The sequence below is a fragment of the Homo sapiens genome, chromosome 13 (genome assembly GCF_000001405.40).
Source record: "Homo sapiens chromosome 13, GRCh38.p14 Primary Assembly".
In the NCBI taxonomy this organism is placed as follows: Eukaryota; Metazoa; Chordata; class Mammalia; order Primates; family Hominidae; genus Homo; species Homo sapiens.
Genome location: NC_000013.11, coordinates 59,772,976 through 59,792,773, shown reverse-complemented (window position 1 = coordinate 59,792,773; position 19,798 = coordinate 59,772,976). Strand labels below are relative to the sequence as shown.

Here is a 19,798-nt window from a genome sequence, read left to right as displayed (position 1 = left end):
GATACCAGCGTGTGAACCATGGTCAAAGTGATGCACCACAGAGTCTAAACTAGATAGTCAAGGATATGAAAACAGTGGTGCCAGGGCATTGGAGATTTTCATGGGTAGATGACAGGAAAAGAGAGAGAGGAAAAGGACATGGGTCAGAAAATGGTTGTATGAATTCAAGTTATTGGAAGTAAAACAGCTCTGGGTAGTGACAAGATTTCGATTATGGCCAAGGAAGTCGGTGATGGGAAGTAGAAGGGATTGCTCCCTGGAGAGGAGGAGGTCAAGGAACTCTTAGGACCTGGTGTTGGATTAGATATTAACATTAAACTGAATTCTCACAAGATGATGGCAGAGCCTGGCCTGATGAGGAAGACTGACTCAATTGACAGTTTATTCTGAATGAGAGGGTAGACTTGTGCGTGATTAGATGACAGTGACCCAGAGGGATGGCAGCAGTGTAACTGAATGACATGTGTCTCAAAGGCGGGTGCTTTTTACATGAGGAAAAAAAAGTGACAGCCTGACATAGCAGCTTTGATCAAGGAGAAAGCAGACATTCCCATGTCCTCCACCTGTGCCCTGCAGACTTTAAGCACGTGAGATAGGAGGGGAACAAGCAACATCTACCAGAAGGGGTGAGCAGAGATCATCTGTCCAGTTTCCAAGTAGAGCCCATTTTCAATTAAGAGAACGAGGTGAAAGGAGTGTATGGTGAAGAAATTGAGGTAGTAGAGAGATTGTTCATGCTAATAATGCTGGAGGAAATAAAGATCAGAAGGACACTGTTGTCTAAGAATGATGGTGATGGTGGTTTAGCTGCCTTCAAAGTTTTAGCCCAACTACAGCAATCCCCAGTGGCTAGGTTGAAAGGAGGAGTCAGGAGGCCATGGCAGATTGAAGTAATTCTAATATTTTCAGATACTCCTGGTCTCAGGAGGAGGAGTGTTTCTGGTCTTTCTCTCTGAGGAAGGAGCATCTGTGAATGACCTGCATCTCTCTTATTGTCAGATTCTGGGAGAAAGCTCCCGTCGAATTTGGGGAAACGAGCTTGTGCTTGCCTGCTCCTGTTTCCTGCTCTGAAAGCTACTACCTCTTTGTGCCTTAAAGCATTTCCTAAAACACCTTTAAATATAAGTCAGCAAACCTAAGGATCTGAATAGTTATCAATTTTCATGTAACACCTCTCTCAATAAAAGTCTATAGTGGAAAGAATGAGCTTTAGAATCAGAAAGATATCAAATCTCCCCTCTGCTACCACCCTATGGCAGGGCTTTGGGCACCTTACTTTACCTTTTTGAGCTCCAAGTTCCCTAACTTTAAAATGGATTAGATAATAGCTACTTTGAAAGAGGGGAGTGAGAATTAAATTAGAAAATCTAGGTAAAATGTTCCATACAGACTCTAGCACATAGGCATTCAATCAAAGTGATAGTTCCTAGTGTGTCTTAATTCATATTTAAATTTTTTATTCTTTATTTTATGTATCTCTTGTTTCCTAAATAAAACTGTTCTTGACCAGGAATGATGGCTCACACCCGTAATCCCAACACTTTGGTAGGCTGAGGTGGGAGGATTGCATGAGGCCAGGAGTTTGAGACCATCCTGAGCAATATAGTGAGATCCTGTCTTTATAAAACAAAATTTTTTTTAATTACTTGGGCATGGTATAGTCTCAGGTACTCAGGAGGCTTTAGCAGGAGGATCCTTTGAGCCCAGGAGTTTGAGATTATTATAGCGAGCTATGATTGTGCCACTGCACTCTCCAGCCTAGGGCAACAGAGACAGACTCATCTCTTTCAAAAAAATAAATAAATAAAAATAAAATAAAGTTGTTCTCAAAGTTACCTAATATCAGCTTTTACTGTGGGGCTCGTGTATTCATTTTGTCAGCTTTTTATAGTTGTGGAGCGGGGGGAGGGAGTCTTTCATTGTTCTCTTGAGACTGTAGCACATTTTTGCCTCCAGTTTTTTTACAATTGTTAATGAGTTCATTGAAAGTTCAGTTGTCTCCTCTTTCATTTTTCTCATACTTGCTTTCTTCTGAAAGCATATGTCAATTCTTTTTCTTCACCAATTTTCACTCATTCAGATTTGCCTTATTCTCCTTGCTGACTTCCTCCTTTTCAAAACAATGTTGCTGTTATTCTGAATAGGATTTTAAAATTTCCTCTGTGTTTAATACTAATGGGATGCTACATCTCACTGTGGAAGGAATAAGGAAGGACATTATATTTGGGCAGAATAAATCTGCATTTCTCCTTTAAAATGAAACAAAGGTAATGAATACTTATAGTACTTTGAACACAAAGTTTATGTTAGAAATGAACAAAGAACTTGAGCCTGGTAAAAATTACTTTGTGCAAGGTTGGCAGCAGTGAGATGGGCTTTAACCCTTAAAGCTCAAAATGAGAATACACAGGTTTCCACAGTTTACTGTGATATCTATATGGTTCTGTGTTTAAGGTACAAATAAAACATATCTTCAGAAATTTAAGTAAAAATCCAGGTATCAAAGAATAACCCCTGGAATCATCACTAGGCAACCATAGCTATAGCTCTTCACCTCTATTGCCTCAGTATTAAGCAATTTCATAGCACCCTGATTTATTTTGTGTAACATTCGTCATACAGGTAGTCATTAATTATGTGTTGAACTTGCTCTTACATTTAAGTCCCATGGGAACAAGGGCTGGGGCTAGTTCAGTGCCTGACACGTAGTCCTTAGTGTATCTTTGTAGAATTGAATTAAACAATAGACTTTATAGTTTTATATTTCCAACTACTTCCTGAACAAAACAGAATATTCTGCCAGTACCTCAAAATCAATTCATCTAAAACCTAACTTGTCGTGTTCCACATAAAACCTGATTTTCATGTTCTCATTTTGGGTTAATGATACCACCATTTTCCCAGTCACCCAGGCTTGACACCTTCACACTATGCCAGCTTTAATCATCATGGAGTACAGTTTTGATTATTTCACACCTTTCAAAAACATTTGATGGCAGTTCTTCAGCCTCGAATCCAAGCTCCCAGTCTGCCTTCCTGACCTTATTTTCCCCTTCTTCCAGTGCGCACCATATGCTGCTGTCAGAGCATGACTGCTGGGCTCCTCTGGGCATCATACGGTGTTCCAGGCACCACTCACTGGCTCCTCGTGGCCTCAAGTCCATTTATCCTGGCTTCTCCTGAAAGAAAATTCCTGTGAAATTACCGATATTATTCTCTAGCTCCTTCCCCTTCTTTTTTTAATTCTTATTGAATTAAGCATTTTCATTATCTGAAACCATTTCATTCTTTATTCAAAAACTTCATAAGGAAAAAAGCCATTGAAAAGTCAATTCTTCACTAATAAAATACTAAAACAAATCTAAAACAAATCCTAATATATTTTCAATGCGAAGTAAGCATTTGTCAAGCTTAAGCTTGTTAAACTTCACTCAGAATAAAGTGAAGCTCTTGTGGGTGACAAGTGAAACTTCTACCCAGAAGTGGAGGTGCTGTGCCATGTAATTAACCTTTTCCTCCCTGGGTTACTCTGTGATTAAAGGATCGTGGGTGTTCGCTCTGTGTGATAGTCACATTTTGTTAAATGTCATTATCACTTCACATCTACATATGTATTTAAATAGATACATTCCCCCCCACCCGCCGACATTCTGTGCTTTTGCAACTGAAGGCATCTGTTCAGCACCCTAGACCCTACATAACACACAAGGTCGACTGTGGTAGCATTCTTTTTGCCAGGGAGTCAATGCCAGTTTCTAAATTTTGCTTTCTTTAGTAATTTTAGAATAGGTCAGAGTGAACAAGCTCATCAGAGTGGGTTACTTGAATACTTACATGCAAGACATTTTAACAATCATTTACCACTGGAAAAATGATTAAGTAGTTCCTTTTTTCAGCACCATGTGGTGGAATAATTGCTAAGCTGCTGGAAGTCGTAAAACCCATTGCTGGCTCTGTAGTTAATAGCCATAAGTGGTCATAGAAAGGTCTTCATTCGATGTCCTCATTGATAAAATAAGGACTTGGTTTATTTCACTTACTATATTTTGGAGATGGTCCATATCAATAATTTAAATATGCCTCATTTTTTGACAGTACAAAATATTCTGGTATATGGATGTCATAGTTTATTTAGTCAATCTCTTGTAGATGGACATTTAGTTTGTTTCTAGTCTCCTGTTACAATGAACAACAATATAACAGACACCCTTTTACATGTTTTTCCACACATGTAAGTTATACATGTAGAATAATTTTCTCAGAGAAAAATTATTATGTGATATGTGCAATCTTTTTTCTTTTTAAAAAAGCTATTTTTTAGAGGAGAGGTCTCACTGTGTTGCCCAGGCTAGTCTGAAACTCCTGGCCTCAAGCGATTCACCCACGTTGGCCTTCCAAAGTGCTAGGATTATAGGCATGAGCCACCACAGATGGCCACAATTTTATTTCTAATAAAAATTACTAAATTATATTCCGAAGTGATTGCATTAGTTTTATATTTTTCAGCAACAAATGTGTGAAGTGACCTCTTCCCCAACCCTTCACCAATACTGATTTATCATAATTTTTCATTGTTGCTATGCTGTTAGATGAAAATGATCTCTCATTGATGTATTTAGAATATCTTTAATTATGAATGAGGTTGAGGATTATATCACATCTAAAGCATGGTTTATTTATTTTTGTTATGGTGTCTTAGTCCATTCAGTCTGCTATAAAAAATATCATAAACTGAGTAGCTTATGAAGAACAGAAGTTTATTTATCACAGTTATGGAGGCTGGAAAATCCAAAATCAAGATGCCAGCAGATTCAGTGTTCACTGAGGGCCTGTAACCTTCTAGCTGTGTCCTCACATTGTGGAAGGGACAAAGGCAGCTCTCTAGAATCCCTTTTATAAAAGCACTAATCTCATTAACAAAGGCTCTGCCCTTATGATCTCATCACCTCCCAAAGCCCTTTCTCCTAATATCATCACCTTGGAATTAGGATTTCAACATATAAATTTGGGGTTGGGGGGGAACACAAAGATTCAGATCATAGAAGATGGGTTCCCTGAATAGCAATTGCCCATTTCTTGGTGTTTCTTACTGAGTTACAAGCATTCTTTATTTTAAGAAAATCAGACCGAGGGAATGCCAATGTTTCAAATATTTTTTCCAGCTTATCCTTTCATTGTTTATGTGTACAGTTTGTTATTATTTGATTTTTTATTATTTTTAATAGAAACAAAGTCTCACTATGTTGTCTAGGCTGGTTTCAAATTCCTAGGCTCAAGTGATTCTCTCTCCTTGGCCTCACAAAGTCCTGAGGGTACAGGCATGAGCCACTGTACCTGTCCTATTTGATTTTTAGATATTTATATTACTTTTGGATTTTCTTAGGAATATCTTCCCATTCCAGAACTACTGAAAATATACTTTTCCATATTCTCTGCTATAGTTTTACACTTTAATCTTTTAATGTTGAAATGTTTGATCCACTTGGAATTTATTTTGGTATAAATAACAAGGTGAGATCCAAATAGGCTAATGCTACCACAGTAGTTATTGAACACATTTTTTTAATCTTCTACTGATTTGAAATGCCACCTTTATCATGAATTGACTTGTCATGTGTATTTGATATGAATCACCAAGTGTAGTACATGTTACACATTATTATTATTGTTATTGAGACAAGGTCTCACTTTGTCACCCAGGCTGCAGTGCAGTGGCTCAGCTACGGGTCACTGCAGCCTCAACTTCCTGGGCTCGAGTGATCCCCCCACGTCACCCCTTGAGTAGCTGGGACTACAGGCATGCACCACCATACTGGCTATTTTTTTTTTAAGAGACAAGGTCTCACTATGTTGCCCAGGCTAGTCTTGAACTCTTGGGTTCAAGTGATCCTCCTGCCTCAGTCTCCCAAGTTGCTGGGATTACAGGCGTAAGCCACAACACCCAGCCTCTGTTGCTCATTATTATCCAAACTTATTTGACCACAGAGCCACCTTCTCTACCCCCTCTCCCTAAACACATACACACAGAGCTTCTTATAGGACTAGTGTTCTGTGGTGCACACTTTAGGAAATGCTGTCTTATGTACTGAAGTTTTTTTTCTTTTTAAATGTGATATATCTCCTTATTTTTGTAATGACAAATTCATCCATTATATGGTTACTCTTACATCTTGTGCCTTAATATGTTTATATTCCAAAAATGATTGTAACTTTTTTATTTGAGTAGACAATTAAGTGAGCAGATAAATAGCTTTTTTATCCGGAATTATTTTCTTACAACAGAACCTAAATCATAAGAAATGTGAAAATTAAGAATTAATAACAATATGATACAATTTGTTATAGTATATTTATATTACCATTTTTCCTGGTTGTGTATATAGTTAAAATTCAATCATAGTTTATTCATGACATCCAAGAATAGGTTTCTTTTTTTAAGCTGGAGAGTTTGTAGAATAATAATCCTTTATTTCATAAATATCATCTCTATAATCCTATTTAGTGTAAGACATGAAATTATTTAGATTCAAATTTGGATACAATGTAATAAATTGTATGCTAATTATGGTTTACACATTCTAATGTAGCTGCAAAATATTTTTCACTTAAACTTTGAAAATGTAGCCTTATTTTTTGTTGTTGGTCATGGGATTTTTTTGAGACAGGGTCTTGCTATGTCACCCAGGCTATAGTGCTGAGGCGTGATCTCAGCTCACTGCAACCTCTGCCTCCTGGGCTCCAGCAAGCCGTATGTTTTATCCAGAGCAACTAAAAGAATGACCTTGTGGTCTGTACTCCTAAGTATAAGATGGATGCTACAGATCCAGGCCTATTCAAGATAGGAAGAAGGAGGTGGTAACATATGATAGCAGTCATAGCTGCCGTAATTCCAGGCCATATTTAAGATAGGAAGAGGAAGAGTGGTTATCAACATATACATCTTTTATGTCTAGAAATACCATACTTTATGTACATATATGCCTTATTAGACAGAAATGCATCACACGGCCACTTCTAGCTTAGCTGCAGGGGAGCCACAGAGAGAAATTTTAGCTTTCCTAGCCTCTGTGGAAGGAAGGAGAAGGTAGAGAATGAATGTGTTGCATTGACTAATCAGCAATATTTGCTATATTAGTGAACAAGAATAGTCATCAAAATATTAAAAATATGAATAGCTAATATTTTTTAAGCCTTACATATGGGGGGCACTGTGCTAAGCTCTTTATACCTTGCTTAATCTTCACAATAGTCTTTGAGGATAAATACTATTATTATCCTCATCTTATAGGTATGAGGAGGCACAAGGAGACAGGGGTGGTCTTTAAGGAGCACACAGCTGATAAGAGTAAGAAGCAAGATTCAAGTCCAGGAGTTTCACTCTTTAACTTTGCTCTTGGGTGCTCTATTTTAAGGAAAAAATAAATAAAACTTCCTTTCTTGTAAAATATTCTAATTTTTTCTCCTAACTTGTAACAGAAATATATTTAATGAAATTTGTACAAATCATGACGAATAAGGGAGAAAAAAACAGAAATATTAACCTATTGGAGTTTTTTCCCCATAAAATTCCACTTCTTGTGGTTGAGCCAGTCACTTAATTACAGTATGAAAGAGAACTGTTCTGATTATCATTTTATCAGTTAAATCCCAATGAAAATCGGCTTTCTAACTCCCTTGACTCAAATAAATTTTCAGTTTCACATCTGGATTAAGACAAGTTCAAAGACTTTGTTTGAAGTTATTCCTGTCTTTTTGCTGTCTGGTTTAAGTAGCATTTTGAGCTTTGTTCTAGCTAGTTAAAGACTGAACTGGGTTACCAAGAGAAGCTGTATAATCTTTTTCCCAAAAATCTCTATAACCAGAATCATAGAGGAATAATTCATGTAATTATGTTAGGGCAACTGTGTGTGTGTGTGTGTGTGCGCGCGTGTGTGGTTTTTCTTCTAGAATTGGGTTAAACTATAAGCCTATGAATTTTGTATATCAACTGCACACTTTCAACCTTTGGGGAAACTGTGCTTTCCTTCCCTAGTCCCATTCCAAATTCCAGATTGTAATCTTCACGTCACTTACTACTACTGAAATATTAGAAAATGTCACTGGGCGTGGTGGCTCACACCTGTAATCCCAACACTTTGGGAGGCCGAAGCAGGCAGATTGCCTGAGCTCAGGAGTTCAAGACCAGCCTGGGCAACGTGGTGAAACCCCATCTCTACTAAAAATACAAAAAATTAGTCAGGCATTGTGGCACATGCCTATAATCCCAGCTACTCTGAAGGCTGAAGCATGAGAATCACTTGAACCTGGGAGGCAGAGGTTGCCATGAGCTGAGATTACACCACTTCACTCCAGCCTGGGTGACAGAGCTGTCTTCAAAAAATAATAATAATATAGGCTGGGCATAGTGGCTCACACCTGTAATCCCAGCACTTTGGGAGGCCAAAGCGGGTGGATCACGAGGTCAGGAGATTGAGACCATCCTAGCTAATATGGTGAAACCCTGTCTCTACTAAAAATACAAAAAATTAGCTGGTGTGGTGGCGTGCACCTGTAGTCCCAGCTACTCAGGAGGTTGAGACAGGAGAATCACTTGAACCTGGGAGGCGGAGTTTGTAGTGAGCCGAGATCGCGCCACTGCACTCCAGCCTGGGCGACAGAGCAAGACTTCGCCTCTAAATAAATAAATAAATAATAGTAATATATAGTTGTTTGACTTTAGGAAAGTATGTCAGGAGACAGTGGAAAGTAAAAGAAGGAGCTATAAAAGCACACACAAAGTAAACACAATGGAAAATGGTCACAGGTTGATAATAGTCATTTCCTCTTAAAAGCACCTTTTCCTATTAGTTTGCCTTGTGCATTACCCTCAGCTCTCTTTTCTTGTCACTACACAATGTCTCCCTAAGAGAGCTCAAGCTCTACCATAATATCAATAAGCAAAATAACAAAGATTCACTGTTAGTAAGCTCTTAATATGAGCCAGGCACCCTACTGAGCATTGTACGTGATTTATCTGTTTTAATCCTCTCAATATTTTGTGAAATAGGTGCTGTTCTTCTTGCCCTTTCAACGTTTAGGGGGAATAAATGAGGGTTTTAGAGACTAAGTAATATGCCCAATAACACTGATTGTTAGTTGGGGAGCCATTGGTTTGAATCTAAATGGATGAATTCAGAACTTGTGTTCTCTACCACTTTACTATGCTTGTACTCTTTTCCATAGTTTCAGGTACGACCTATGCTTCTAAGTTGAATGTATTAGTGTAACCAATTCCTCTTTCCCAAGTTTTAAACCTGTGACTCTATCAGCCCTCTAGAAGCCTTGAATCACTTTGTATTTGTATATCTCATGAACATTTCAACTTAACATATCCAAAATTGAGCTCCTGTCTAGATCCAACTCATTCTATCATCAAACAAAGACGGTTCTGTACTTGGCAAATGATATCAATATATATACAATTGGCTGAGCCAAATGCCTGGAAATCAGCCTTAACTATTTCTTTATAATATTCACAACCACGGATACCAAGATTTCTCTATGTCTCCTCCTTTCTTTTTTCTATTTTCACCACTTCTGTAACTTACTTGGGCCCTGAAATCACATTTTGTCTAGATTTAAATCATTAAACATGCCTCTTGGGTTTGTTTTTTGTTTGTTTGTTTTTTGCCTTTAGTCTTTTCTCTTCTCAAAATATTCTTTCTAAAGTAGAAATTTGACCATGTTACTTCCTAGCTTAAAATGACTTCATGGCTCCTTTAAAGTCTAAACTCCATAGCATGGTATATTCAGCCCTTGGTGAGTTGGCCCCGGCTCTCTCTTCACCTTCACCTCGCAGCGTTACCCCTGTTATCTCTTCCTACTCATATCCACTGCACATTCTTCAAGAATCCCTGCCTTGTACAGCTTTCCTGACAGCTTTAGCTGGGTCTTGTCTCTTTTGACAGCTCTGGCACTCTTAAATCGGTTCTTTAAGTCTCAGATATTCTGAGCCTTCTGTAACTGCTGTTCCTTCTCCCTCTGCCCCATACTACATGCCCACCACCCTGTACCACATTCTGAATATCTCTGTCATAATATTCAACCTGTTGTGTTTTACGATTTTTACCTGTCTTCCTCCCCTTCTCAGAGGTAAGCATCTTTAGGTCAAGAATCAACCTCTTCCTTCAAATTCTCTTCCTCAGCCATCTTCTTTCTCTTTCAATAAAATTTTTAACTATCTTGTATTTATCAATGTCTACAAATTCCTAAATTAAATATAATAGGCTCATAGCATGATAAAATATCTTCTCCCTCACTCCTCTCAACCTCCTCCCACTTCCCAGAGGCAATCACTTTTAATTCTTAGATATTTCTTCTGATATTTATGTGTTCCTTATTTCTAGATAATAGCATAGACTGTTGCATATCAATTTTTTATTTTAGACATTACTGAGTTCCTGATTTAGTTCCCTAATGCCCTCTCACCACTAATCCACCTTGTGTGGATTACCCCTCTTCCTTTACCCCATTGTCTTTCATTATAATTATATCACAGTTGATGGCCAACAGAATGGCCAGTGTTTATAATATTGGCACTATGTAAATATACTTTGTTTTCTTTATTTTTCTTCTTTTAATTTTTAAGTTTTTTTTTCTTTACCCCAAATTTCAGTATTCCTTGTTTCTGTCCTGGTTTTTTCCTGCTGCTATAACAAAAACACCTTAGACTGGGTAATTTATAAACAACAGAAATTTATTTCTTGCAGTTCTGAAGGCTGGGAAATACAAGATCATGATGCCAGCAAATTTTATGCCTGGTGATGGTTCACTGTCTGCTCCATATATGGTGTCTTGCTGCTGTGTCCTCATGTGGTGGAAGGGACTAACAGCTTCCTTGAACCTCTTTTATAAGGCCACTAATCCCATTCATGAGATTTCTGCCCTCCTGACCTAATCACCTCATAAAGACCCTACCTTTTAATACCATTACATTGGAGATCAAGTCTAACATTCAGACTACAGCATTTCCTATGGGACAATCTTGTTGTTTCTAGATTAATAGAGACTTCTCAAAAAGTTTGTTTAGTATTTGTACATACATACCTGTTACTGTATTATCCAAAGTCTTCAATGGATCTGGGAAATAATCAGCAATCATTTTGCAAATGGTCCGACACAATAGATTTGCTACCGGTTCTGTGGCCACTACTCTGTCCCACTGCCCAGTTTCCTCCCATGTGATCCATGTGATCTAAACTGGCTGCTCTGAGACTGGGACATCCTGGGAATTCCTTTTGCCACTTTGCTCTCTTGTCCCTTCTCCTTTTCTGGATGCCATGTTTTCCTCTTTCTTACTATTCTACCCCTCTTGTTTTGGTTTTGCAAAAGCACATCTTGCAGTCTCTTTCTAAGATGGCATGTATAGACACTTGCATGTTTGAAAAATGTCCATTTTCTATCCTTGTCTGATTAGCAACATAATCATTTCTTCACTGGAAATAATTTCGCTTCAGAATTTGGAAACCATTTCTTGCCTATCTTTTGGAATTCAGTGTTGCCACTGAGAAATCCAGTCCTAGTCTTATTTCCTTCCTACATATTTGACCTGTTTTCATTTGTTTACTTGCTTGCAGCATTCTAGAACCTTTTAGGATCTTCTTTGTATGCTTAGTTATTTAAAATTTCAGGTTGTACCGTGGCTGAAGAAAATGGAATAAGGAAAGAGAGTTCCTACTGGATCACTGACTTATCTTTTTTCTCCTGTCCTTTAAACTTAGGTGGTTTCCAAGATGCCACCTCTTCTGATTCAGGCATATACTTTTCCAGAGTGCTGAATGAGTATTTTTTACAATATGGAAATGACTTCCAAAAATATTACCCACATTTTTGTCTGAATTTGAGGCCCGAATTTCCAGCTGTCTTCCAGAAGTTACTGGAGGTCCCTGCTAGCACCTTCCATTAACATGTCCAAAAGGAAACTCATTATATTTTCCAATCTTTGTTCCCCATCAAAATCAATAATATTTAAATTTCATATTTTCTTTTCTCCAGCAATGGGCCGCAGAGATCTCAGACATGTCCTTAGCAGTTCCGCCTTCTTTCGGTTCCTAAGACCTATTGATTCCACTTTAGAAATGTCCTTAACTCTCCCTTCTCCATTTCCTTTGACACAGTGCAATTTTTTAAAATACCATTTACAAATTAAGATGATATGTTTTTCACATATAGGAAATCTTTGACTTTTGCAGTTAGTCTAGTTATTTAAGAGTTTTCACAGCAGGGGAGAAACTATAAATATTTTTAATATAAATTATAGCTGGAGAAATTGAATTCTACTCTAAGAAAAACTGACTAATTTTAACTTCTCTGGTCTATGTTAGAATACTGTAAATATAAATCATCTAAACATCTTATTACACCTCATTTTTTGTTTTTATTCATACTTTTTGCCTTCGTACCTGTTATTCCTTTTGCCAAGAATGCTATTCCCTCTACAGTCCCTAACATGAGTAACTCCTGCTTATTCTTCGAGTCATCATTCACTAGGAAGCTGTACATCTCCAGTAACTCATATATACACTTTTCTGCTTGTGAGAGCAGAAATGCTTTTGTGTTTACCTTTGGGGCCTAGGTATCTTGGTGCCTAGTAACATCCTGGCACACAGTACCATATGCATGGGTCTTAGGTATCTTGGTGCCTAGTAACATCCTGGCACACAGTACCATATGCATGGGTCTTAGGTATCTTTAGTGCCTAGTAACATCCTGGCACACCGTACCATATGCCAGGTGAACATGTGTTGGTTGAATGTTCTAAATGCATTTTTAACATTTGGAAGAACATCTTCTTTATATGTCCCCATCTTACACTTTGGTTTATTTCAAGAGTCTATTTGTACTTCAAGTCAGAGTTTTTCTTAGAAATGATGTTATACCTAATGAAGAGCGTAATAGAATACACTATAAAAGACTTCCCTCGGCCGTGCGCGGTGACTCTCATGCCTGTAATCCCAGCACTTTGGGAAGCCTAGGCTGGCAGATAACCTGAGGTCAGGAGTTCGAGACCAGCCTGGCCAACATGGTGAAACCCTGTCTCTAGTAAAAATGCAAAAATTAGGTGGGCATGGTGGGGCACGCCTGTAATCCCAGCTACTTGGGAGGCTGAGACAGGAGAATCGCTTGGACCCGGGAGGCAGAGGTTGCTGTGAGCTGAGATCATGCCACTGCACTCCAGTCTGGGCGACAGAGCAAGACTCCATCTCAAAAAAAAAAAAAGAAAAAGACTTCCTTCATTTGTAACATATCTAAAACAGTGCTTGAAACATTTAATAATAAGCAGGCATTTCATACATGTCCTGTAATTTACCATGGATTTTATCTGTGAATTTCTTTCCCTATATTTGTATATCACTTAGCAATTTATCAAGTGCTTTCATTTGTATTATCTCATTTGATTCCCTCATTAACCCTAGACAGGTATTGTCTGTATTGCATATGTCAGGAATGATTATGTATATAATAGTCTAGTGTCTCACAGGTAGTTAGTTGAAAGCTCAGACTAGAATGCAAGTTGTTTTACTTCATTATTGTATTCTTCCCATTATGCATGTGAGAGTGAAGGCCAAAAATAGCCATCTGCTCTGGAGGATGAGAGCAGGGGTAGAGGTTCCAGGTGGACAGTGATGGACGAGAGAAAGAATGTTTGTAGAGAATCACAGGCAGTTGCCTTTAGCTAAAGAACAGGTTGGGATGGTTGGAAGTAAGAGATACAATTGGAAATACAATTGAAATCATTGTTGGGGTAGGAATAAGAGTTTGGACTTTATCTGTCAAAATCCATTTGAGCAAAAAAAAGAAAATTAAAAATAAAAATGAAAAAAAGAGTTGGAACTTTATATTGTAAGAACTGAGATATATTGAAACTTTGTGACCGGGGGAACTGAAGATCATTTCTGCTGTAGGACTTACTTATCAGTAATGCATGGGCAGAATTAGGGAGAAACTGGAAGCAATGTGACTAGGCAACTCATGCAGTATTCCAGATAAAAAATAATTCAGTTCTGTAATACCAACATAAAGTGTAGTTAGAAAAGGAACAGCAGATTAGTTCAGGAGATAATGGGGAGTTTCAGTCTATAGTATTTGACAACTAAATAGATGTATGAGACAAGGGAAAAGGAAGAAAGAAAGCTGTGTTGTTTAGAATGGTGGCGGGAATGTATTCCCATCTCTTCCCTGGACCCCTGTCCATCTATGAGCTTTATTCTCATGCATAATCAACCCTTCCAGCTGACCATCTTAGCTAATTTAGTCAACATATATTTAGCTAATTTAGTCAACATATATTTAGCTAATTTAGCCAGCATATATTTATTGAACACTCTCTATATAATAGTCGCATTTTGCCAGGTGTTGAAGATAAATGAAATCTATAATCCCTGCCCTCAGTGGGCTCGTGGTTTAGTGGTAGAAAGAGTCACATAAACAATATAACATTGTAAAGAATTTATTGGTATATGTATTACAGACCACTGGGACACAGAGGGGCACCTAGTTTATGCCACATGGGTCAGGAAAGGATTCTCAGTTCTCCGTTTTGAAGGAAGGGTAAGAGCTAGCTTGGTGAAGAAAGTGAGACAGATGTTCTGTGTAGATATAATAGCATGTTCAAAGGCATGAAGTAATAAACATGAGACTGTGTAAGTTGTTTTGTGAGCCTAAAACTGTCAGCATTTATTGCCTAAGAACAATGAGATTATTCTAGTGAACCATAATACAGTTATCACACTCTGATAACTTAACATTGGTACAATGTAATTATCTGATACCCAGTCCATATTCAAATTTCTCCAGTTATCCCAATAACGTCATATATAACTTCTTTCAATTCAGGGGTTAATCAGGGACTCCTCTATACTTCATTGTCGTTCCTCTTTAGTCTCTTTTAATCTAGAACAGTTCTCTAGCCTTTTCTTCTCTCTTTCTCTATTTCTTCCTCTCTTTATCTTTCATGATATTGATACATTTTTAGATCCTAGGCCAGTTGTGTCACAGAATGTCCCTTACTTTGGACTTCTATGATTGTTGCCTTGCATTCAGATTCAAGTTAAATATTTTTGTGCGAAGTGCTACACAGGTTAAGTTGTGCATCACTTCAGGAGGCAATTGATATCAGCATATTCCACATTGTTGGTAATGTCAAATTTGATTATTTGGATAAGGTGGTATCTACCAGATTTCTCTATATCCTGTTCCTCTACATCCCTTATGCACAATAGTTTTTGCAACCGTTGATGACTCCTGCCTGAATCATTTCTTACTATGTGAATTGTAATGTGGTGAATTTTGTAGTTCCCTCATATCTTTGACATCTATTAGTTGACACTGTTCTTTAAAGAGGAACTCTCCTTCCTACATTTTTATTACTATGTATTTTTTAGTATCACTATGGATGCATGATTCTTTTTTCCTCAGTGTGCAATAATCCCATTCCCATGATTATTTATTTGATACTCAGTTGTCCTAAATTTGGCCAAGGCAATGTTTCAATCTGGCTTCTTTGTCTTTTCAACATATCACTATCTATTTTTGAGCACTTTCTTATTTTCTGGCACAACAATATGTTTCTGACTCATTTCACACTTTCTTGGCCTCAGTTCTAGAATCAGCCATTTCTGTAAGCATTGTCATTCCTTTTAGGGAGTAATGGTATGTAGAAACCAAGATCTGAGGGCGAGAGAGGTCATTAGAAACGAAGATTTTAGGACTAGTAACGGTAGCTAGAAACCAAGATCCAAATGCTCATTGATGCTACTATAGTGTTATAGGAAAAGGGTTTTTTTGTTTGTTTGTTTGTTTGTTTTGTTTTGTTAAGCCTTGAGCTTACATTAATACCTATACATCCAATCCAACCCTTCTTGGTTCTTTTTCTTTTTCTCCAATTCCATATTTCCATTTTCTTTCCCACAGTGAGCACATCGGCACATTTACACATCTGCTCCAGCTTTTATACACACACAATAGTCTGAGAATCACTACATCAATACCACTACCAACAATAAATTTACTAAGAAGAAAGTTCACATTTTCTTTATAGTTTTTTTCCCTTAAACTTTATGCCATTAAAGTATTCAAAAGTTACTTGGATTCTTTTTTCCCCCTCCTTTATAATCTATCAATATGAAAACATGTTTATTTGTTTCTATTTGATTTCAGTACTAGGATTTTTTTTCAATCTCATGACTGCTTGAAAAAGATTTAAAATTGTAATTTTAGATTTTGAAATGTTTTCTTTTTCTTTTACTATCTTAAATATTTGACATTACCTGCAGTTTTTTAAGGAAAAATATAGTTGAATTTGAAAATAAATTTTCAAATAGCTATTTGTCTGAAATATTTAATGTATTTTAGTTAAAATAGCCATCAAATCACTTAGAATTACATTTATTGTAAATTCACAACTTCCAAATATTCTATTTCTCACCCACCTTTTTTGATAACACCTACAAGGTTTAGTACTCTTCTAAAAATATGAAATAGCAGCAGATGGAAAAGGGGCTGATACATATTTATATTTATATATCTGTTTATAAACTGTAAATGAGTATGTTATTTGTATTCTACTGCATTCACTTTTCATCTTATCTCTGTAAAGGGATTGTGTATCAAAAAGGAAAAAATAAAAGTTCGAAGGAAAATAGCTTTCCATTATTTTAAATGTAGCAGTATACCAGCCATACAATTTCATAAAGAATGCCTGCAAGTTACCTTGTCTGGACGGGCAAAAAGTCCTTACGGTTTTCTTGAATTTGGTTTGGGCCAGTAGTTCCTTTGAAGCTTTTTCTCCTGTTCTCTTTGAACAATATTTAACATTGATAACTATAAATACTTATAAGTATTACAGGCATAATCTGTTCTTTGTAGAGATAATTGGCTCTATATCCACGTATTTCCTTAATTATATACAGGATATCAATTTAAAGTAATCTTAATGGAGTGCAGTCCTTTTGATTTCAGAGAGCCTCTTTTGATTTATTTCTCATTATAGAAGATAAACTATACGTTCTGTAAAATTTTGTAGTGATTGTTCTGTGTCACCTCAAGTCAGGGGATGATTATCTTCTGATATGAAAAATCAATTGTTGGAAGCATGGAAATATAATCTGTTATATTTAAAAGTTAGCATGGAAATATAATTTGTCTGCTAAGTTTAGACAGCAGAATCTCAGTAACAACAAAAACACTCTCCCGGGCCGTGTGCAGTGGCTCACGCCTGTAATCCCAACACTTTGGTAGTCTGAGGCGGGCAGATCATGAGGTCAGGAGATGGAGACCGTTCTGGCTAATATGGTGAAAGCCCATCTCTACTAAAAATACAAAAAATTAGCCGGGCGTGGTGGCAGGCGCCTGTAGTCCCAGCTACCCGGGAGGCTGAGGCAGGAGGATGGCGTAAACCTGGAAGGCAGGGCTTGCAGTGAGTAGAGATCTCACCACTGCACTCCAGCCTGGGCGACAGAGCGAGATTCTGTCTCAAAAAAAACAAAAAACAAAAAACAAAAACTACTCTCTCCCATACCTGGTTGACTTTAGAATAGAAGATGATGCCTTGAAAATAGCTCATCTCTACAAAGGAAATGTGATTTATAACTCAAGACTCAAACATGACTAGAACCACATTCCATTTAAGGTAATTGTGCTGTTGGACTATAAAAGCAGTGCTCTGAAGTGAATCCGTGGAACTCGGTCCCTTTAGTGCACAGTAACATAGGCACTAATGAGGCAGTTTTCATTAAAAGATAGTTGATTTAATGAGAGAGTTAAAGTCCTGTCCTATTTTGAAATTGCTAGCTTAGTCCTGGCATCTGATCTTTTTTCTCCCTACCATCACCATCACCAGTTTTTGTATATGCTTTGACATTGCTATGGTAACCCTGAGGGCTGATGGAATTCCCTGCATCTCTTTTCACAGAGGGTGATGAGACAGGAGTGATGGATAATCTGCTGGAGGCCTTGCAGTCCGGGGCTGCCTTCCGCGACAGAAGAAAAAGGACACCGATGCCAAAAGGTGAACCCTATACTTGTTTCATGTTACTTTCTAGGGAGCTATCACAGAGAAAGAATCCTGTTTTTCTCATTCTTTTGAAGTTGTGTGTCAAGAATGCAGTGCCGTGGGCAACAACTGTTCAGAAGTTTCATAAGTTTGCTTAATCCCTTGCACAGACAAATGTCAGAGAGATATGCATTCCAGTTGGCCGATGTCAGTAGCACATTAACAAATCAATGCACTGAACCTAGAAAATCCTAATTAGTGTGACAAGTCTCATCTAAAGAACCATATGTACCTTATCCCAGTGGAGTTTACAGTAGCATAATTAAATGGGAAGTAAAAGTCATAACATTACTGCTTCAAGTATTTCAGGATATTGAAGCATTACTTTGCTGCCAGAAATACATAACCTTGGAAAAAAGTATGTCTAATACTGTTTTCCTTCTTGAGATGCCCAGACCTCTATATTAAGTTTATTTTATTTTTTTTTTTAACAGATGTTCGGCAGAGTCTCAGTCCAATGTCTCAGAGGCCTGTTCTGAAAGTTTGTAACCATGGTAATAAACCGTATTTATAAATTGCACATTCTTCTTATCTACTTTTATCCTATTGATCTGTGATTTTAGTAGACTGCTGTGAAATTCTCAAGTTCCAATATAACTAAAATAGTAAAAATGTGTGCATGTACATATTTGCTATGAGATTGCGTACTCGTATTTTTCATCCTTATATTATTGCCTTGAGGTTGTGTCTTAGGTTCTTCTATCAGGTCTCTAGTGAATTTTTTATTATTATAATTATCTGAAGTTAACATTCAATCATTGCTGATCAGTGTTATCCAAGGCACTCTTTCTCATAACACTTTTTAAAGTAGTGGACTTACTATATGTCAAGATACAATTTGAAGTATTAAATCTGTCATCTTGTTTTAATCTCCCACATTTGCCAGTGCAGTTAGAAATACCTTAACTGGCATTTTGGCAAAATGGTAAGTGTAGATGAGCTTCATGTGGTATTATTGTGGAAGGATGTGATAAAATCACTAAGAAGATGAATTAACTTAGTCTCTGATATTTATCTAAGATGGACTCCTGTCAAAAATCTCTAACCAGTCCTCCATGCCCAACCGCATAGAACTCTCTGCTCTGTTCAGGGTACCATTTCATGTTGATTGGCTTTTATTTGCTTTTGTTTTTTTCCCTCTGTGTTATGTCCTTGGGTTCTGCCTACCTTCCACAGTCAAAACACATTCGTTGATTGTGGGTGCTGTTTTTCAAAGTGAGATTGTCACTAATGTTTGCCAGATTTATAAATGTAAAACAACTTGACAGATTTTGTATGAGTTTTTTGGGTGCAGATGACTTAAGTTCTGGAATTATTAACATGTGACTGAGAGAAAAACCTGTGCCAATTTCTAGGGAAGCTAAAATAATTATTAGGTAAATAAGAAAAAGACATGGATGTAATTATCTTTTAATAGGTGTGGGGATCCTTACTGCCGAAGGTAAAGTATATATAGTAGGTGCTTAACAAATGACAGTAAAGGTAAAAATATACTGCAGTCTCTTAAATAGGTCTTTTTTGTTGTTTTTGTCTTGCCTTTCTCTTGTATAACAATACAAATAAAAAGAGTTGGAATAAGAGAAGTTCACTGTGAATAATTAAGTAATTCCTAAATTTAGGGTTATGATTTAGAGCCATTGTGACATATTTTACAATGGCAAAACCTGTAGAGAGTAGATCTATCCTGATCTTAAGGATGATTTTGTA

At 37.2% G+C, this 19,798-nt stretch overlaps 1 protein-coding gene across 13 annotated transcripts in view; it reads left to right on the top strand.

Annotated features, from left to right (window-relative positions):
- The window catches only part of DIAPH3 (diaphanous related formin 3), a 498,346-nt gene that overhangs the window by 371,155 nt on the left and 107,393 nt on the right, over positions 1-19,798 (top strand). For 11 of the 13 annotated variants that reach the window (XR_002957478.1, XR_002957480.1, XR_941672.1 and 8 more), the window contains 2 exons: positions 17,951-18,046; positions 18,526-18,585. Coding sequence is in view for 9 of the 13 variants with exons in the window: in NM_001258368.2 (NP_001245297.1) it covers positions 17,951-18,046; positions 18,526-18,585 (156 nt within the window). In the remaining 4 variants the exon portion in view is untranslated. Of the gene's footprint in view, positions 1-17,950; positions 18,047-18,525; positions 18,612-19,798 lie in introns of those variants that run through there. The other 2 variants (NM_001258369.2, NM_030932.4) reach the window with 1 other exon arrangement.